Source organism: Homo sapiens, chromosome 7 (assembly GCF_000001405.40).
Source record: "Homo sapiens chromosome 7, GRCh38.p14 Primary Assembly".
Classification (NCBI taxonomy): domain Eukaryota; kingdom Metazoa; phylum Chordata; class Mammalia; order Primates; family Hominidae; genus Homo; species Homo sapiens.
Window position 1 is genome coordinate 106,571,558 of NC_000007.14, and position 22,553 is coordinate 106,594,110.

The window sequence follows — 22,553 nt, forward strand, 5'->3', positions numbered from 1 at the left end:
AGCTTTAGGCAGGGGGCTCCTTCCCCTACACCCCCCTGCCCATGTTCAGGGTGACATGGAACTCAGGCTGAGCCAATCAGCATCATTCTCCTGGGTCACAGAGTTTTATTGGAAGGCGATCCCTGGAGGGTGCTACCTTAGTGAATGGGTGACCTGTAGGAGTGTGAATTGGAGCCACCGAGCTTGCATCCCCAATGCCTGTCCTCTAAGAGCCCACCATGGGGAAAGACAGCAGTGGATGCAGAGGCCAGGAATGGAGATGGACTTCTACAACCATGATGTGAACCCAGGAGTGACTGAAGTCACTCTAGCCCTGGCTTCTGAGGTTGTGTTATAAATTCTCCCTTTATTTTTTCTAATCTGTCCTAAGGTTCCGTTCCTTGTAACCAAACATTTCCTGATTCATCTAGTGGTCTTTTGACCACATTGCTTTGGGAGCTGAGCTGTTTGAGTGTGAAACATACCTGCATGAAGCTTCCTCTCATTGGAACTGACAGTAAGTCTCTTCCCTTAGACAGGTGACTTCTGTCAGCTTCCCTAACTTCCTCCTCTTCAGGTTAACACTCCCAGTTCCTTGTAATACTTTTCACAGGAGTTTCTCGGATGCTGAGTTCCTTTATTTTTTTTTCTTTTTTCTTTTCTTTTCTTCTCTTTTTTTTTTTTGTTTAGACAGAGTCTCACTCTGTCACCCAGGCTGGAGTGCAGTGCTGCGATTTTGGCTCACTGCAACCTCTGCCGCCCGGGTTCAAGCGATTCTCCTGCCTCAGCCACCCGAGTAGCTGGGATTACAGGCGCCTGCCACCGTGCCCAGCTAATTTTTGTATTTTTAGTAGAGACAGGGTTACGCCATCTTGGCCAGACTGGTCTTGAACTCCTGACCTGGTGATCCACCCACCTCAGCCTCCCAAAGTGCTGGGATTACAGGTGTGAGTCACCATGCCCAGCCCTTCACTTTTCTTAAGTATCTTTCACCCAGACCTACTCTGTCTCAGGCACTATTCTAAGCATTTGGACTCATGCAACCCTCACTTTCTGACCATTTCACAGATGGAAAAATTGTGCATGAAGGGGTTAGGTATGCAAACTGCTCAAGGTCACTACCTGATAAGGTAAGTGGCAGATGGATTCAAACCCATCTTGCTGCCTCCAGAGTTCATGTTCTTACCAGGACCCCACACTGTCTCTTCAGGGCACACTCCTCTAAACATAATTAAGTTTGTCTTTAGCTCTTTCAGAGAGTATTTCCTAAATCTAAATGCAGCATTCAGCTGTGGTCTGAGCTCTGGAGTGCTGTGTGGCCATTCCCTCCCTAACTGGAGAGTCTGTCATTCATTTATGCTGCCTGCGATGGCATGGCATTTTTGGCCACCACTGCCCACTGTTGACTCACCTCGAGCTTACTGTACCTGGTTAATATATGTCTGTGCATCTTCCATTGTAGTCCATTCACATTTTTGTCTGTCTTCATCCAAAACTTTTACTGGGTGTAGATTTGGTATGCTTTAATGATGTTTGTTCAAAGAACACAAACATGAAAATTCAGATGTCAAGTTCTCTCCTCAAAAGGGTGTGGAGTTTCTTATCTCCGAGTTGCTTTTCTTCTCTTTGGGAAAATGAGAACTAGTTAGAACTCCTCAGTGCTCACTTAAAACAAAAAGAAGGCTGGATGCAGTGGCTCATGCCTGTAATCCTAGCACTTGGGGAGGCCAAGGTGGGAGGATTGCTTAAGGTGAGTCAGAGACCAGCCTGGACAACATAGTGAGATCCCATCTCTAGAAAAAAAATAAAAAGCTAAAAAGAGAGGGGGAAAAAAAAGAAAAGGGCATTCTAAGGAAGAAGAACCACATGAACCACTAAATTAGAGGTTCCTACCTGCAAGTCATAGCAGCATGACCCAAGTCATTTGCTACTTGTATATATTTGCAGATAAGGTACTTTAATGATTGTGTATAACTTAGAAAAGATGGAAGTTTTCCCTTGAGTAATAGTGCTCTCACCCACTGGCCTTCTTTCTGCTGTTTCCTCTAAGAGGGAAAGGAAGGAGGCAGTGTACCCAGGATTATAGCCAGCAGGAGTGAACACACTCACACACTTCACAAAGGAGTGAACAGTCCTCCACCATTTGTACATGGCATAACAAGGGTGGGAACTGCTGCACCGGACCTGAAGCCCCTTAAAGAGGGAGGATGGGATCTTATTTGCCTTTGTGTTTGCAGAGCTTGCTTCAAAGTCTAGCAATAGAAGGTGCTCAATATATGAGTGACAAATGAACAAAGATGTAGATGAATAGGTATATCAGTGGGAACAAGTTTGGTGCCATTGTCCTGGGATGATAAGGAGAGTAACGTGAGAGAAAGGTCATCTTGGGTCATCGGAGAAGGTAGCAGTGGCTGGCAAAGCAGAGTCACTGAATGTTAGGCAAGAGTGTTGGTAGTGAACAACCTGTAGGGTGGCAGGAGAACCGAGCTGGGCCTTAGGATACCAGAACTCTAATCCCAGTTCAGCCACTCACTCACTCTGTCATTTCCCCACAAAAGGCTTCTGTTTGCTCAAAGATGAATAAATCATAACTTGGGTTTCTTCCCCAACTGAAATTTTGAGATGCAAGACTTCTAGGCATTTAGTAGGACAGAGAAAGCCATTGGTGGCACTCACAGCCTCCGTGCAGGATGGCGCTTCCCTTCCTGGCACACAGCACCTCGTTGCTTTGTGGGTGAGTCTTCATTCTCCAGCCTGACTGTCCTCCAGGTTAGAGATTTTCTCAAATTTCTTATGTGCCTTCATGACACTCAGCATGGCAGTAAATTGAGGATCTGGCAGTCCATTCATGGGCTACATCCAGCTTGCAAGGGTATTTAGTTTGGCTCTTTTTATAAAGGGTATAGCAGGCAAGCAAGGCGCAGTGGCTCACACCTGTAATCCTAGCACCTTGGGAGGCCAAGACGGGCAGATCACCTGAGGTCAGGAATTCAAGACCAGCCTGGCCAACGTGGTGAAACCCCATCTCTACTAAAAATATGAAAATTAGCCGAGTGTGGTGGCACGCACCTGTAGTCCCAGCTACTTGAGAGACTAAGTCAGAAAAATCACTTGAACCCAAGAGGCAGAGGTTGCAGTGAACCGAGATCACGCCACTGCACTCCAGCCTGGGCGACAGAGTGAGACTCCGTCTCAAAAAAAGAAAAAAGAAAAAAAAAAGTATAGCAGGCAGAATCACAGCCCCCAAAGATGTCCACATCCCAATCGCCAGAATCTGTGAATATGTTACCTTATACGGCAAAGGGGATTCTGCAGAGGTAATTGAAGATTTCTTGATAGTGAGATTATCCTGGGTTGTCTGGCTTGGCCCAGTGTAATTACAAGAATCCTTTAAAAGGGCATGTGCTGGGCAGAAGAGTCAGAACCAGAGGGATGGCACCATGAGAGTCACTGCTGACCATGGCAGCTTTGAAGCTAGAGCTGTGAGCCCAGGAATGCAGATGGCCTCTAGAGGCTGAAAACAAACTCTCCTGAGAGCCGTCAGAATGAACGTCGCCCCACCAACACCTCAACCTTAGCCCAGTGAGACCCTCTTTGGATTTCAGACCTTCAGAAGTGTAAGATCATAGGTTTGTGTTGTTTTAAGCCATTGTTTGGGGTAATTTGTTATGGCATCACTAGGAAACTCATACAGAGGGAAATGTGAACGTTTTCAGGCAGGACAGGCACTGCCCGTATTAGGCCCACAACTTCTCATTGTCCACCACTAGGTTTGATGTGCTCGGTTCTGCTACATTTCTGTGGCTTGGTTAAGCCATAGTTGTCATTCAAGTTATTAACTAATTGGACAGCAAGAACATAAGGCTGAGTATCAGAAGTTGTGGCCCTTAACTCTAGCACTAACCAGTGATAAGACTGTGGACATGTCCGTTGACCTCATTTGGCCTCCCTTTCTTTGTAAAATCAAGGGGTTATACCAGACTGTCTCCAAGGACCCTTTCTACTTGAGAATACCATGGCTCTGTGATTGTTTTATTCTATGTAATTTGGGTTTGGATGCTGCATTGGCTATTCCTGCCCTTGTGGTAGGATGGGAATAGTTCGCAACATCAGCAAACATTCACTAAGTGCCTGCCTGGCACAAGACATGCATGGCCTGGGATGAACAAAGAACTCGGACCTCAGCCCCTGAACTTGCCATATGGATGCAGTGCTAGAAAAGGCTAATGAGACCTAGATTCTCTTCAGCACCAGCAATGTTATATTTGTCAAAGGCAACTGATAACTAATGTGCCAATATAACATTTACACATTGAAAGTTTTATTTGTTCCCTGAACCAAGGAATGGAAATTCTTCTATTGTCTTCCCCTCTACTTTTTAATCTCCCCATATTTCCTGACACATTCTAAGGTCTGGATATTAAGAGTTTAAATATTGATTATTGCTTTTCCTTCCTTCTAATAGAAAGCAAATAGCAGTATGTATTTTTTAAAAAGAATAATATTTTAACATTTTTCTCCACTGAACTTAGAACAGGGAAGGAAGGTTGGGAGAGAAAAGCAGAACACAGGAACACAACACATGGCAGGAAAGACAGAGAAGATAAGAATGTTCCCAAATACAGTTAAAGGCACCAGCTTGGCATTTTCTATTCTGAAGGAACTTTTACCATAGGGAGAGAGAGACAGGGGTGAGTTGATCAGCTGTGCTAGGGATGGAGCATAATTGTCTCCCTAAATAAGAGCTTTGCCCATTAAAGTGGCATGTAGGTAAGTTTTTAAAATCACCCTGGTTTTCCAATTTGTAAAACTATATCTTATAAAAAGGAAAACACATCTACAATGTCTATATGCTTCAAACATCTTGTTGTACACAATGTATAAAATTTTATCTGTCCATTTAAAAATAAGTATGTACATGTTAAAGAAATTAAATACAATTTTAAAAAAGAAAGACATCATTTTACTATCATAAGAAAAACTGTCTGAAGCAGTAATATGTCCTAGTTCACTGGGCATGATCCCTTCAGGATGCAGGCCCTTAACCCATACTGGAGTGGGGGGAATCTCACCAGATTCCCTGCTGAGGGGAAGCTGTGAAGCAATGTGAATGGCAAGTTCCTAGAGATGCAAAACTCACAACATCAAAAGAAAGGACAATCTAATCTTACCTTGTACCCCTACATGTTTATGTACTGAGAGGAGATATCCAGGGAAAATACATGGCAGAGAGAAGAGGAGCTCATGGCTCCAAACTGTTTTCGTCACTATTGTAGTAGGGACAATTCTTCAAGTCTATAAACAGACTGCAAAATAAATATCGCTGTCTATTGTCTCTGATTTGAATTAATTTCTGGCTAAAGCCACATTCCACTGTAGTGGTAGAAAATTTAACTTTAGGGTACATTCCCTTTTCCCCATGATGTGCCACAGTTCTGGGGTCCTACAAAGTGCCACTTCTCTGACGTGGGAGTGTCCACGTGCTCCAGGTGACCATTGAGGCAGCTGCTGTCCAGGCCCACAAGGCGTCATAGTCTGGTGGTCTCCACTGCTGGTGTTCCACAGAATTCTTTGGCCAGGCTGCCCACAGCCCTTCTGCCTAGACACACTATGCAGCCTCGCCTCTAGGGTCCTGCTACCTCAAGGTATCCCTGCTGTTTCTGGACCCACAGTCCTCTTTTTCTCCCCCTAACTCTGGAGGGGGTGGTCTTTATCCAGAGTGAAGCTCCAATCTAACATTGGCTTCTTCTACATATTGTTTATATCAGAAAATCTTGTTCTGCCTCTTCCCTCTTCCCAGACCACTAGGAATTAGGCTTTTGGAAAACAAAAGTCAGCAAGACCACTTCTGTTTTCCAATCTGCCTCATGCCTTCTGAGGCAAGGAACACGGAGTGGACTGACTGTTTGAATAGAGGTGAGGAAAAAATACACGGAGGGAAAGAAGGAATGTATACCTGGAAGTATTCTGCAGCCACACTAGCTACCCTTTGTGGATGGCAACCTGGAAAGGGCTGCCTACTCCCACCTCTTGGAAGGGGAGTGTGCTATCAGCACCCCTTCTTAGGGATGTGCATTACTCTCCCAGCACTAGCAACATGAGAGACTCAATCAGTGTTTGTTCTTTCTTGCCTTCTCTCATGATTACAACACGAAGGTTGAATTTAAAAGCGTTCTGCTCAAAGAGCAAAATTCCTTCTCTCCTGTCAATTTTACTCTATGACAAACCAAAGAACCACTCATCTACTTTGCTGAGTAGATGCTCAATTGTACATACTGTGTCAAGAATTTACCTTCATTGCTCTTCATCTACAAATACCTGCCCAACATGTTCAAATTTCTTAAATTTTTTAATGTTTTCATTTAACCCAACATATAAAAAAACTATTTCAACAAGCAATCAATATAAAGCTATAACTATTTTACATGTTTTATTAAGTCTTTGTAATCTGGGATGTATTTTCATTTATGGCACATCTCAATTAGAACTAGTCACCTTTTAAGTTCTCAATACCTACATATGGTTAGTGGCTACTTTGAATATTTTTTTTAACACTGGCAGCTGGAAAAGATCATCTTGTTTCATCTCGCTTAGTCTAACATAAAAAGAAAGTAGTACTTTGAATTTACCTAGAATGGCTTGAAATAGAATTATCATCAACTATTTGGCGAACTCACCTCAGTGAGGCTGCTATTACAGGAATACTAGGAGAAAGGATAGGTACAATTAGTAAAATAAGAATTTATAACTGGTATGTCTGCATTTGTATATCACACAGAGATTTCAGAATATTAAATGGAAGATGTCAAGGAATTCATAGTTCAACAAAAAAGAAGGTTCAACTTCTAAAGTACTCTGCACAGAAAGACATAAATGAATTGTTTCAAAATTGCATTTGTCAGCCAACTGTTTGGAATTTGAATTTTTTTTTCATAAAAACGTTATAAACTATGATTTGCTTCCCGGGCAAAATTAGACTAAGGTTAAAACAAAACAGGAAAATACAAACACATCAAAACTTGGTATTTCTCCTTAATGCCATTTTAATGGAGAAGAAAAGCTCAGAAGGCTTAACCAATCACTCTGTTTAGTTTTAACTGAGAGCTGAAAACATATATTGGATTTTCAAAAATGTTTTAGACTTTAAGGGAATTAGCTTATTGTATTCTGTCCATGCTCACGTTCTTCTTTGTTCTTCATGCTATATTCATATAGTATTATTGCCAATAATCTTAGGGGAGGGACATCAGCCACATTCATAGCCAATGGAGGACAGCAATCTAAAACAGAAGATTAAGAAAGCCAGGTGCAGTGGCTCACACCGGTAATCCCAGCACTTTGGAAGGCTGAAGCAGGAGGATTGCTTGAGCCCAGAAGTTCGAGACCAGCCTGGGCAACATGGTGAGACCCCATCTCTACAAAAATTTAAACAATTACCCAGGTGTGGTGGTATATGCCTGTAGTCCCAGCTACTTAGGAGGCTGAGGTGGGAGGGTCACTTGAGCCTAGGAGGTCAAGGCTGCAGTGAGCCATGATTGCACCACTGCCCTCCAGCCTGGGTAACAAAGTGAGACCCCGTCACAAAAAAAAAAAAAAAAAGCCGGGCGGGGGGGTGCCGGGCGCAGTGGCTCGCATCTGTAATCCCAGCACTTTGGGAGGCCCAGGCAGGTGGATCACTTGAAGTCAGGAATTTGAGACCAGCCTGGCTAACATGGTGAAACCCCATCTCTATTAAAAAAAACACAAAGAATTAGCCAGGCGTAGCAGCGCATGGCTGTAATCCCAGCTACCCGGGACGCTGAGACAGGAGAATCGCTTGAACCTGGGAGGCAGAGGTTGCAGTGAGCCGAGATCGTGCCATTGCACTCTAGCATGGGCAATAAGAGCAAAATACCATCTCAAAAAATAAAAAAGAAAAAGTAAGAAAGTTTGAGAGACACTGAAGTAACTTTGCAGGAAATTAAAGAGAAACAAGAAGGAGAAAAAAGAGTAAGAGTGAGGGAATTGCTTGCAATAGAGAAGTTACTTGAGGTGCAGTTAATGGAACTGAGAAATGAGAAAGGTGTGTGGAATTACCCTAGGAGGAAGGTGTGTTAAAAGTGCACAGAAATCAAAATCCAAATGCCTTCAGACAGGTCCATGAAAGAAGCAGGCTGGGTTAGAAAGAATAGGAAATAGGGGGGACTGTGGCAAACTAGAGAGTTTCAAGAAATACATATTTATTTTTTCGTGAAACATCGGTGTGAGCCAAAGCCAAAACCTCTGTAAGCCGAGTTTTGTCTGCTGGCCACCATTCAGAACTTTCAGCAAAGAGATGAAAAGCAGACCTGGAATCAGACTCCCTGGGTTCACATTCCTGCGTCACCACTCAGGATTCCATGACCTCAATTTCCTCATCTGGGCCAGCATGGTGGCTCATGCCTGTAATCCCAGCACTTTGGGAGGCTGAGGCAGGCAATTACATGAGAGCAAGAGTTCAAGACCAGCCTGGGCAACATGGCGAAACCCCATCTGTACTAAAAATACAAAAACTAGCTGAGTGTTGCAGTGCATGCCTGTAGTCCCAGCTACTTGGGGGGCTGAGGCACGAGAATTGCTTGAGCCTGTGAGGCGGAGGTTATAGTGAGCCAAGATCATGCCACTGCACTCCAGCCTGGGTGACAGAGCAAGAGACTCTGTCTCAAAAAAATTTTTAAAAAAATCCTCACCTATATAATGATAGTTTCTACTTTGCATGATTGTGGTGAAGATTAAGTAAGATAATGTGGGTAAGGTACTTAGTGTAGAGTCCAGCAGGCCTCTCTGTAAGTGCTTAATGAGCATGCACTAGAATGTAGTTTCACACCTGTAATCCCAGCACTTTGGGGAGGCCGAGGCAGGCAGATCTCTTGGGCCCAGGAATTTGAGGCCAGCCTGGGCAACACAGCAAGACACTGTCTCTATAGGGAAGGGGTGGGGAAGAGTGGATGGGTGTGGTGGTGTACACCTGTAGTCCAAGCTACTCAGGAGGCTGAGGCAGGAGGATGGCTTGAGCCCAGGAGGTTGAGACTGCAGTGAGTCATGATCACACCACTGCACTCCTGCCTGGGTGACAGAGTTAAGATGCTGCCTCAAAACTTTTAATTAAAAAGCCTAATTCTATCCTTTAATATCTTCCTGAAAAGCTTTGTCCATAAGAGAAAAATTGTATTACTAATTATTTGAACCTCCATGCTACTGGCTTTAACTTCAGTCTCCAGAATCAAAAGACAGCAGCTCCAAGCCGACCCCCACTATAGGCAGTATATTTAGCTATGACCCTTTATTTAGAAAGGTGAGATTTTCTGGCTCATCTAAAGGCAGACTGCATTTTAAAAATTGTTATCATATAAACACTGAGAAATCTAACTACAAGAGAAATTTGGTGAGGGTGACAACAGGATACCCAATCAGCATTTCCACCTCAGGAGATGTAGAATGGTCACAGGCTGCATTTGTATGAGAGTCTGGGTGGTCTCTGGAAGAGATGGCTCAAAGGATTTGGAGAGGTCTATTGTGCCAGCCAAGGACTCTTTAATGGGAAAATGACAAAGGGTATCACCAACCATGGGGAGAGCTCATCTTGAGGCTACGTTCATCCTGGGTCACCAAGTGCTTGCTAATAAGAATTCCTGATTTTTGCACCTTGATTTTGTATCCTGAAGCTTTGCTGAAGTTGTTTATCAGATCTAGGAGCTGTAGAAAGCAATTTGGAGATTTCTCAAAGAACTTAAAACAGAACTACAATTTGACACAGCAAACTCATTACTAGGTATATATCCAAAGGAATATAAATCATTCTACCATAGAGACACATGTATGCATATGTTCATCACAGAACTATTTACAATAGCAAAGACACACAATCAACCTAAATGCCTATCAGTGGAGGACTGGATAAAGAAAATGTGGTACATAAACACCATGGAATGCTACATAGCCATAAAAAGAATGAGACGATGTCCTTTGCAGCAACATGGATTGAGTTGGTGGCCATTATCGTAAGTGGATTAACATAGGAACGGAAAACCAAATACTGCATGTTCTCACTTATAAGTTGGAGCTAAACATTGCATACACATGGATGCAAAGAAGGGAACAGTAGACACTGGTCTACTTGAAGATGGAGGGTGGGAGGAGGGAGAGGATCAAAACACTACCTATCGGGTATTATGCTTATTACCTGGGTGATGAAATAATCTGTACACAAAACTCTCATGACATGCAATTTACCCATATAACTAACCTGCATATGGACCCCCCAAACCTAAAATAAAAACTGGAAAGAAGAAAAGGAATTACTTTGAGGAGTGGTATTGTTTGGTCTTTCAAATGCTATCCATCCACAGAGGAGCTTTACATCCTTTTTCCTTTTTATCACATTTCTTGAGAAAAAGGTGAATATGAAAGACCTAAAGGTCTTGGAGAAAAAAAATAAAACTTGAAAGCTCGGGTTTGCTGTAAGGCACTTGGAAGACAAGCCCATCCTGGTGGAAGCCTCGTAAACAACCCTGAAAAGAGAGAACTCTGCTATCTGGGAATGAACAGCCACAGGAGCTGCCAGAGTAGCCCAGACAGAGGCACCGCATGGTGCCTTTGCTCTTGTGAAAGTAAAATAAATCTTGGGCCCCCCAAATTAGTATGACCTATGACCTGGAAGCCACCTCCCTGCTTTGAGTTGTCCTGCCTTTGCTTCAAGTTGTCCCAACTTTCCAGACCGAACCAATGTTCATCTTACATATGTTGATTGATGTCTGATTTCTTCCTAAAATGTACAAAACCAAACTGTGCTCTGACCACAATGGGCACATGTCATCAGGACCTCCTGAGGCTGTGTCATGGGCCCGTGTCCTCAACCTTGGCAAAATAAACTTTCTAAATTAACTGAGACCCATCTCAGATATTCAGAGTTTACAGTCTCAGTAGCAACTAGGAGCACAATGTGGCCTAGTGTGAGAGAGCCCCTGGGGGGCCATGGGGACTGTTAGGAAAGTGAGCATAGTGGCGGGTACTGGGAATGTCATCCCTGATTCTGCCACCAGAGACAACCCTCCTATGTCATCCTTGCCCCATGTGCACCTGTTATTTTTACCTACTGCAGTGTATTCTTCTAAGTTGGTTTCATCTCTAACTAGACAATGGCTCCAGGAGGAGTTGAGTCTTACTCATTTTGCATCCCTACCCCCTAGCAAAGAGCCTAGAATTTTATCAATGAATGAGTAGTAGGGTTCAGCGGTAAAGGCTACTTAATGACTACTTCTACTGTCACACATATCCTGTGATTGTCATTATCTGGCTGGTATGGTTTAAGGTAAAATGAGATTAAATTAGAAACTGAGTTACATTATAGTGATTTGATAGAGAACCTGAGAAATGAAGCTGTAATCCCCTGATTTTCAACTAAGAAATCACAACTATTCTAGTATCTTCATTAATCCACAAAAGAATTGATGTGCTTTCTTGGGAGTATCCTGTCTTGTTTGATCCGCATGATCAAAGAGTTTTTAATGCAAGAATCATAGAGTGTTAGACTGGTTACAAAAATGGCTGCATTTCTCCACCCCTCCCTGTATCCACACCCATTACAATGTAACTCTGTGGCTCCTACCATCAGGAAGTGGAGTCTATTTCCCCACCTTCTGAATCTGGACTAGCCTTGTGAATTGCTTTGACATAGAATGTGATGCAAGCGACAGCATGCTAGTTCTGAGCTAAGGCCTCTAGAGACCTTGCATATTTCTCACTCAGAACCTTGCCCCCATTATATATACAAACCCAGGCTAGCCTGCTGGATAATCAAAGACACATGGTCTAGCCACCCATTGACTCAGCTGACAGCCAGCCAACCACCACACATGTGACGTCATCCTAGACCAGAGAGCCCCCAAAATAGCTGATACTCACAGAATGTTGAAAAGCTGTTTTTCTACTCTGGTCAATAACTTTGACAGTTACATTCTACCCTCAGTCAAACCAGTCCCTCAATTACTTTCATATTGGAGAATATCCAAAGGGGAAAATGAATCAAGTCTTCATCCCTTTCTTGACACAGATTTTGAAAATCGCTAAAAAAGAATGAGTCTACTTGCAGAATTGACTCTTTCCAGGCTTCCTACCAACTGATAACAGAAATATGGGTGTTATACATGCATGCTAATAAAAGACTTCACCAAACTGCTTTATATAAAAAGAGTATACACACACATAAATATGCAAGGCTAACAAAAGGAACTTAATCTAGGTGGTGAGTTGTATTAGTCTGTTCTCACACTGCTATGAAGAACTACCTGAGACTGCATAATGAAGAAAAGAGGTTTAATTGACTCACAGTTCTACAGGCTTAACAGGAAGCATGGCTGGGAGGCCTCAGGAAACTTACAATCATGGTGGAAGGGGAAGCAAGCATGTTGTATCACAGCAGAGCAAGAGAGTGAGTGAGCGAAAAGGGAAGGGCCACACACTTTTAAACCATCAGATCTCATGAGAACTCACTATCACGAGAACAGCAAGGGGGAAATCCATCTCCATGATTCAATCACCTCCCACCAGGTGCCTCCCCCATCACTGGGGATTTACAATTCAACATGGGGTTTGGGTGGGGACACAGAGCCAAACCATATCATGACTTAATACCAAAATGGCAGACCCAATGTTTGTTAGTTAGAATGAGGTTCAGCTGTGAGTGACAGACAGCCTCCCCACCCCCCATTTCCACTCCATCACCTAAATGACAGTAGCTCAAACAGGGTTGTAGTTGATTTCTCTTACATCAACGTTTAGGAAGAATGTTAAGACCCGTTGACTCCTGATGCCAGAAGCCCAGGGTCCTTCTATCTGGTTGCATTGCCATAGGTGGCCTTGATCCCATGAGCCAAGATAGCAGCATGTGCATCCCACACAGTAGGATGGAAGAAAGGAGGGGGAAGAAAAGGCAAGCAATGCTACTGCTATCACCTCAACCAATTAGCTAACACAGCCAGCTGCAAGGAAGGCTCAGAAACGGAATCTCTGAGGCCATTTGCTCAGCTTAAATTCAATTACTATGGCATTTGGAAGACAACTAGCAATCTCTGTCATAGAATGCTTAATATCATGTGATAAGTTTCTACTATGTGACAGTAGTAACATCTTAACTTTCCAGTGAGTTCGGTTCCCAATTATGTTTATATATTGGCTGTTTGTAATCTGGAAAGCAATTTCTCACAAACATTTCGACTGGCTATCTTCCTAGGTCAATAAATACAACCTATTCTAGCCCACAATGTCCTTGAAATATAATTTTCATTTTTACTCAATGATCCTTTATTCCATCAGTCCAAGGGAAAAAAAATACATTCCAAATGACTACAGATTATGTATCTCAGGGGCAGGAAAGTTCCTCCTAAAACAGGAAAGAATGAAGAGAAAGGGGACCCTTTGGGACTATGAGGGTGCCGTACATTTGCATCCAAGAAAATAAATCTTCTTTTCTAGGGCATTAGTCATTCTATTCTAAGGTTCTGAATTGGGGAACACAGGGCCCACTGGGGGATGACAGATCAAGATCACATTCTGACACATTCTAACCTCATCTTATCTTTGTTGAGGGACTGCACTTCTATAGACCACACAGCCCTAAATATACTTACAGGGCACATGAAGGGCAAGGTCGAGCTGTCCTGGGACCTGGAGCCACCCTTTGGCTTCACTCCTCCCCAGTTCCAGGTTTTACTATATTCAAAGGCTTCCCATGAAGGCCAGTCTTTAACCAAGTCCACAATTGGCTTACCTGAGGAATTCTTGCCTGTGTGTGTGATAAACACATCCACACCTCCAGAAACACAGATACCAAGAAACAGAAGAGCCGAGCAAGACAAAGACAGAGACAGGGTGAAATGTGAAAAATTCAGAAGCACTTAGATTCTGTCATTTCATAGGCATCTAAATCATGGGGGACATGGACCATGAGGCATTTCCAACACAGAAATCTTTGAAATGATTTAATTTGGTAGTTGACGTTGTTTCCCGCTCCCATCAAGCGGTTTACCATTGCTGACAGATGTCTTTTCTGATTATCGCTGGGAGTCTTGCAACTTTGAAAGCTATTGATTAATGCATCTGTCTTCCCAGCCTTGGAAACCTTTTTACTAGGCTGCTTGAGAGAGTTGGTTAAAAATTCATCTTCCTATATTCAAGCTCTCTAAAAATTTGTATTAGGCTATATAAGCCATATGAGGGAGAGAAATACAGGTTTCCAAGAATAGGTTTTAAATGGGCTTGAATTCTTTTTTGGTCTACCTTTCAGGAATGTGCTCTGCTAGCTGGCTAAAGGGCATGCCGAATGATAACATAGCCTCCTTCTAACTCACTTTCAAATAGGGAAGGGCTATGTGGCGAATTTTGTGTGTGTTTAATTTTATAAGCAGACTAAGTTTCTTTCAGGAGGTTGGGTTTTGATTTCGACTACCCCAAGAAACGTTCCCCAGAACTTTCCTTTAGGTATATACAAAATAGCTTTTTCTGTTGTGTTTCACTAAATTGTTGGGCAGTGAGATAAACCCATCCATAAAGTCTCCTGCCACTTCCTGTGGGGAGGCTGGAATACTGCAGACACTAACTTAAGGTTGGAAACAGTTTGCACAGGTCCAGGGTGACTCCTTACACAGGGGCCTCACAGCAACTGGCATGCACAGTGTCTAGGCTGTTTCCAGCAGAGCTAGACCTGTCTTCTCTTTCAGAAATCAAATAAGAACCAAGACCCTGCTGAGCTATTCTTGAACTTTCCTCTTTTCCCTGGGCATTTTATATCATCCAGCAAACCTTGCCCTTAGATTCCGGTGCCTAACCATCCTTTCCTCCCAAGGATTTAGGGACATTCAAACGTATGTTTTCCACTGAGTAACTAAGGATTAAGAATGTACATATCCTTGCATAGTACTTCTCACATCAATACGATTAGTTTGTCCTCTTGGTGCAAACACAGGGATGGTGATCAAAATATTTGATAACCTATAAAGCATGGCAATCCGCAATAAAAATGGAGGCTGGCCATTATGTGAGCTCAGTGTATACCGCAGAATGTTGGCCATGTCGTGAGTGGAAAGATTTCTTCTGGTAATCAATGTCCAGGTTGGAAGATTCCTACCGTGTTCCCATCTTTCTTAAAAAGAGGACATAACTCTTACTGGCCTGGAGCTCGTTCTTGTAGAGGATTCATCCTTCGCTCTTCTGGGAGTTTGAGTGACAGTGTTTATAAGATGTGGCGAGGCTGAGGATCTATCTGTAGTTTCTAAACACGCCCATCAATTATAGATTATCCCTTGCTTCCAATCAGTTACCAGGGTCTCTCAATTCTGCCTCCTACATAGTCCCAAATCATTTCTGTCTTCTGTCCCCTCTACCTCTTTGGTTAGGCACTCTTCCTGCCTTGCCTGGATTTCTCATAACTGGTGTCCCTGCTGTAGGTATCCCATTCTAACCCATCCTGAACACACATGCAGGGAGGGTCTTCTCAGCACAGATCTGAGTGTGTCACCACAGCGCCTACAATATCTAAATGCTGCCCTGTAGGAAATAAAATCCAGCCTCTAATAATTCCAAGCACTTTGTGATGTACCCCACAATGTTCCCACATGCTATAATCAAAGTCCTATGCTCTAGCCAAGCCCAGTGACCTAAAGCCCCTTGAAGGCGCAGCTCTTCCTTACCTCAGTGACTTTGTGGGAGCTACTCCCTCAGTCTAGAGTCTGGATTGGAAGTCTTTCCTGATCTGTCCAGGAATATTCTCTACAATCTCAGAGAGCCTTATCTAAAAATCAAAAAGACTCTTCTCGAGGTCTTCTTTATAAATGGGACCATGTGTCTGTCACAACAACCCACCCCTACTAAGTGGGCTGTTTACTCCCAGACATTTACTCCTAGAATGAGTGGAGGAGCAGAAAGAATAGGAGTTTAGGGTCTTAAGAGGACACTTATTGCCTGGGATGATATTCACTTAACATCTATTAAGTTGTAGCATGTGACATCGCCATTTTTGTAAGTCAAAAATGGTAGAACGTCGGCCACTTCATATAGTTCAACCTACTATAAACCACGATCTCCATTCCCATGAAAGAAAATCCAGCTATTAGTCTCCACCTGCCAGGTCTGCTGTGCAGTGGTTTAGCATCGTGGTCAAAAGCTTGGATGGCAAACTCAGAACTGGATTAGAGTTCCACCTCTGACTACTTGCTGTGTGTCACCTTGGACAAGTTATTTGCCATTTACAAGCCTCAGTTCTTACATCTATAAAGTTGGGGATAATAACAATGCCTTCTTCATAGAGAGATGGTGAGAATTAAATGAGATCATTTGCATAAATGGCCGAGTTCACAGTAAACACTTTCTAAATGGCAGTTATTGTGAGCATCAAATACAGTATGTGGCTCGCTAAAATGCTCTACAAAAATTAATTTTAATTACCCTGTGTATAACTTAACAGTACAACTAATTTGCAATCTGATTGCTTTGTTGATGAACATAATCTTTAGATCCTGAATACACTGTAGAATTCCTTTCTCCTTTTAAAAACCTTTATTCACAGTATTTATTGACCAGGACCCTGGATGGGGCCTGCCTATGCATTTCCTTCTCTTTTCTTCCTGCATAGTTCATGTGCTATTAGTAGGACCTCAAGAGACTGGAACAGAATTACCAGGGACCCCAGCACCTGCCCCATCCTCTTTCTCAAACTTCTAGACTCCCAGTGTCTACTGAAAAAGGCAAACGGGTAGGCAAGCAGCAGCACCAGGACAGGTGAGTAATGAGGGTATTTTATCTGTGAGACTGTAGTAACGCCATCCTGGGGGTGAGGTCTTCACAGGATGGCCGTGTGTATTCCTCTGTGGGCTATCTCCTGGCTTGGCCTGTGTTTCCAAGGTCACATGGAGCTCCAAGCCTGGTCACCTAACTGTCTCACTGGCTGACTCTGTGTAGCACTGAGAAGGAGAAAGATAATGGACTAACTGTGGCAGTGCGGGCCAGGTCTGGCATCTTCAAGTATGCTAATCAGTCTTTCGCTTTTCCTCCTTTCCTATAGCAAAGGCCCAGAGGGTTTGGAGCATGTGGCTCTCATCTGCTTCACAAATGACTGGGTGATAGCTGTCCTCTGACTTCAAAGAAAAGCTGTTTCCTTACTGAAAGGCTTCACATTGAAGTTCTCAGGAGAGGAAGACTCAGTCTCTCCCAGATGACCCATAGCTCTGTGCGGCAGAACCACGGTGACAGTTTGTATAGGGCTTTCCCTCCCAGCTTCCTGGGCTTCCTCTGACTCTGGTTAGAGGAGGTGCTCAAGGGGAGAGATCGAGGCCTCTGCTCCTTGCTTAACTCAGTCCAGGGCAGAAGAGAGAATCATGATGCTCCAGCCAGAGAGCCCTGGGAATGGCTGCCAGTTCCTAGGTCTGCATCCCTCCTATTCCTGCAGCCAGACCCCTCCCCTCCTCGCCGTCACCATGCTCAGGCATGGGACAGTCCCGCACCTGGGTAGGGTAAACCTAAGAAGTCTATGCAACAACAGATAGAGTGACTCGGCTTCTTTGTTCTTGCTACTTGAGCCTTGTGCCTTCATCTTGATAACTGGCTTCCACATGATGGTGAACAGGCTCAACCTGTTTCCTAGTTCCCCCGTCTTGATGATTTGCCTGATACCTAGTTCTAAAAGGTGGGGGCCTGCCTAGCTCTAAAGGACTTATGGCCAGCCAGAATTGAAGAGAACAGCTGCTCCAAGAACTGCCTGCCATATGACATGGTACAGGAAGGGGCTGGTGTTCACTGCTGGAGACAAGAGAAAGTGGTCAGCAGAGAGGCAACAAGAGAAGAGACAAAGGGGAGAGCTAGGAGAGGAGCCACATGGCGCCAGGAACCCGTAGTTAGCTCTTCCGCCTCACGTGGTTTTGATGGCCTGAATACAACTTGATTGTACCCACCTGATTCATGAGGGGACTCCTAGGGCTTTGAGATAAAGCAATGTCAGTGGGAAACAAACAGAAAACTACACTAAGCATTCCTTTTCAGCCATTATTTTAAACATAGGGTGTGTACCTGTGAGGCAGCAAGAACACTCTTAATTACTCCCTTACAAAAAAGTCTAGCTCATTTCCACATCTTTGCTTCCTTTTTAACTTTGCCAAAATGCATACCCAAGCACATTTTGGAGGAGCATGTCCTCAGTCTGGTCACAGTCACTGTGACATCTTGGTCTATTGAATGGTGCCTCTAGAGTTGTGCTCACTGAGCCTCAGCAGCTGTATATGGTAGCTCCAAATTTGATTCCAGGATTATTCCGTCTGCATAAGAATTTTATCGAGTCTATTTTCTATGTCTATTCGGAAAACATAATATATCCTCAACCAGTTATCACAATCTTCATTAAAATTTGAATTTATCATGATCCCTTCCCTTCCCATCACTAACTAGTCCTCCTGGCAGGATTTGCCTCCTAACTCGCTCCATCACCTGGGCTGGAGTGTGGTGGCATGATCTTGGCTCGATGCAACCTCCACCTCCCAGGTTGAAGCAATTCTCCCACCTCAGCCTCCTGATTAGCTGGGACTACAGGTGTGTGCCACCATGCCCAGCTAATTTTTTGTATTTTCAGTAGAGATAGATTTTTACCATGTTAGCCAGGCTGGTCTTGAACTCCTGACCTCAAGTGATTCACCCATCTCGACCTCCCAAAGTGCTGGGATTACAGGCAGGGGCCACTGCCCCTGGCCTAGGACTCAATTTTTTAACCTCTGCTGCTGGTAATCCATTGAGATCTAGGTATGCAAACATAATAATGGTAATAACGGGCAGCTAGAATTTACCAAGAATTTCCTATGTGTCAAGTACTGAGCTAAGGGCTTTACAGGCATTATTTTATTCTCACAATCTCTCAGTGTTGTCATCTCTAGACTTCCATTTCTAGAAATATGACAGAATGGATATCCCAAAAAGCCTCTTACTGCAAAACATCTAGAACTGATTTATCAAGAACAACAAGCAGACTTGTAAAAGCAAATCTGAGCTGGTGAGAAAGAGAAGGAATTTCCTAGGAGTGAAAACAACAGGAAGAAGCTGAAGGCAAAGGAAGTCAGATAAGCCCTAATAGCTTTGTCTGGCCTACCGAGTTGACTGATCCCAACCAAGGAGGCTGGGTTTTAAAAGCCACTCAGAAAAACAAGACTAAGCCTTGAGCCAGCTCCAATTAGAAAGCTGAAACTTAAATGCCAACATAAATGTATTGGAAAAGCAGCAAGGCTGAAAAAAAGCACTGATCATTCATGTTGAAAAATTGGATAAAGAAAAGCAAATGAAATCCAATGAAGGTTGAGTGAAGGAAGTTATAAAGAACAGAAATTGGCCGGGCACGGTGGCTCATGCCTGTAATCCCAGCACTTTGGGAGGCCAAGGCAGGCAGATCAACTGAGGTCAGGAGTTCCAGACCAGCCTGGCCAACATGGTGAAACTCTGTCTCTACTAAAAATACAAAAAAATTAGCTGGGTGGGCGCCTGTAATCCCAGCTACTCGGGAGGCTGAAGCAGGAGAATCTCTTGAACCTGGGAGGCAGAGGTTGCAATGAGCCAAGATCACACCATTACATTCCTGCCTGGGCGACAAGGGCAAAACTCCATCTCAAAAAAAAAAAAAGACAAAAAAAAGCAGAAATTAACAGAAAACAAAACACTTGCATCTAAAGCTAGAACCCTTGAAGAAGTACAACTTGAGTGGAAAGAGGCAACTAGAAAAAATTCCATCCACTGGCACAGGAAGACTGCATAGAAACTTGCCTGTCTTGGCCTGGGTCCAGGTTGGAATTCAAAAGGTTCCTATGGAATTCATAAACACAGACCTTCCCTTGCCCAGGTTGGAGCAAGCAAACAACTATTGGATAAAGGAGCATGAAAGAAGTCCCGGGTTGGCAAGGTCCCTACAAAAACCCGGAAAAAGCAAAGACGAAGCACCAGAGACCCTCCACATGGGCTGTGCCCACTCACCGTCCAAGGAAGACGGCCCCTCAAGCCTGTTGAATCCAGTTTCTCTTCCAGACCTCCAGATCCAAGTCCATACCCATTCTCTTGAGTCTTGCTTCTCAAAGCAGGGCGCTGGAACCAAGTGCATCAGCATCACCTGGGAAATGCGAATTTACTGACCCCTAGCTCAGACCCACTGAATCAGGAACTCTGAGGGTGGAGCCCAGCAATCTGTGTTTTACCATGCTCCCCAGGTGATCATGATGCACACTCACATTTGAGATATTTATACCCATTCTTCCTCCTGAGGAGTACCACGAGGACAAGCACGTTTAATACATTCCAATAATGTTGGAAACTACTGCTCTGGATTTTAATGATATCTTAGGCTTATCGAACCCTAAGAAATAAAAGTTTTAGAACACCAAGCAGGGTTTTTATTTTCAAAGCTTTGGAACTTATATGAGTCATTCTTTTTAGGTTTTATATAAAATAGTAAACCTTTAAACACATAGAGTTTTAGCTAGAGAATGAAATTATCTTACATAATTATTTATAATCTATGCAATAATTAGCATAAGACTAAGAGATACCAATTTTCTTCACATGAATAGAGCATAATTTACATAAATTATAATGCTAATAATCTATTTTCAGTCCAAAATTTGTGTGTGTGTGCTGCGTTTTCACTTGCATAGAAAAAACCACTATGTCACATAGAATAAGCATTTATTCTGTTGCTTGGAGTATGTGAATAGTTATTAAATTAGGATTATGTTGCTTGAGATACAAGTAAATCATCTAGTCACCTCTGATTCCTCACACCATGATTGGTTAGTTCTTACTTACAGTTTTCCATAATATTTATTTCAACTTCATGTAGGTCTGAAATGGTCACAGATCTCATTAAAAATGAGAACTTTTATTTCATGGAGTCTATGACATCATGTTTTCTATTTCATATTGTTGTTTAATCAGAACATGTTGGTGTTCCATAAATTTGCTTGTGTCATATTGTAGTGAAGATAAGAGGACTTGCTGCTTTAAGCAAGATCTGAGGATACTCTGGGGTCCTCTGCATTGGTTCAGTTACTACAGACTAAGGTTTATTGGCTCAGTTCTGTGAACCTATAACTTCAATGGATAATTTTTTTAAATGATCAGACCTTGGCACAAACTCTATGTCAGTAATTACAACAAAAGATACTATTTGAATAAGAACATTTGTGTCCACTAAGCAAAGCATGTCTGACCTAATTCCAAAGTTTCAGACTAATACAATCAGTGGTCAGAATACCACCTGCTTTCATTCTTTCCACTTAAGCACATGGCAGGGTGTGTGTCTACTGGCACAAGTGCAATCAGTGTAGGAACTCGGTAATTTTGAGAACTGCCACAGGTGGAGAAAGTATTTTTAGGCATGCTACCTGCTCTGCCCAAGCAATCTTTGCAGGTGACTCAATTTCAACCTGAGTCTCCTCACTCCACATCTCCTCTTCTTTAACACCTCTCCCTCAAATAGGTCCTTTACTCTCCAGACCCACAGTCAGACCTACTTTTCTGGACAGAAGGTGTTTGGCCCAGGGAGTCCAAGCCAATTCTGGCTCCTGCCATGACAGACAGATGAGCCATCAGAGAGAACAGCTCCACCTCTGCCACCAGAATGACACACATCCCATATGCATCACCTTCACTCATATCAACATCTCCTTCATTTTCTTTTCCACAGCCATCAACATCAACATCCTCATCAATGTTTCAATGGGTCATGAACACCAGTGCAATTATTACCACGATCTGAAATGCCGTCACTATTTCCTACTTGCTAAGAAATGGTGTGGTCTGTTGGGAAAAGAAAAACAGCTCTAAAGCCAGGCTGAAATACTTTCAAATTATAGCTGTAGTTACCATTATTTGTGAGACTTGGGCAAGTTCCTTACTTTGAACATTATTCCTTAGCTGCAAAATGGAAATAATACCTTCCACCCATGGTACCAGCAAAGATTAGACGAGATAAAATACATAAAGAAGCTAACACTGTCATGGCTCCTAGCTGGTACTCAACAAATGTAAATTTTGTATGTTGTAGATCTTCAGTAAATATAGAACAAGTGACTGAATGGATACCAAAGGGAACCAGATATTCTTAATAAACACTTTATTTAGGCTAAAGGTTTTTAAACATTAAGCTGTTGTTCATAGCCCAAACTTTCCTTCAAGTACAATTGCATGCAGAAGGTCAACACTGAAAAAAAAAACAAACAGAGCTGCTTCCATTAAAGCAGGGGTAGGGGTTCTGTGGTCCTCTTAGATCCATTTGTCATTGCACATCAAGTCACCTTTGCCCTGGACTCCCAAAAGCACAGTTTGAAAACCACAGACCCAGGATATATTCTTAAAACTAAGTTTTACTATAACTTTAATCTAAGTTCCACATATTTTTGGTTAGTTCTATTTTCTTTTTGTTAATCTAAATGAAATCTTTATCATTACATCTTCTAACTTGTATTGTTGATACATTGGAAAGCTACCTTTATAGATGAGTAAATTATCTTAAAATTTTTTCCAAGTTTTTCAGTCTATTT

The 22,553-nt window shown here is 43.0% G+C and overlaps 1 long non-coding RNA gene across 3 annotated transcripts in view; it reads right to left on the reverse strand.

Moving 5' to 3' along the window:
- The window catches only part of CTB-30L5.1 (uncharacterized), a 28,937-nt gene that overhangs the window by 1,647 nt on the left and 4,737 nt on the right, over positions 1-22,553 (reverse strand). Inside the window, exons 2-3 of one of the 3 annotated variants that reach the window (NR_187788.1) lie at positions 19,993-20,125; positions 1,391-1,603 (exon numbers count right to left, since the gene is read on the reverse strand). This is a non-coding gene — a long non-coding RNA (uncharacterized CTB-30L5.1). The remainder of the gene's footprint in view (positions 1-1,390; positions 1,604-19,992; positions 20,126-22,553) is intronic. The other 2 variants (NR_187786.1, NR_187787.1) reach the window with 2 other exon arrangements.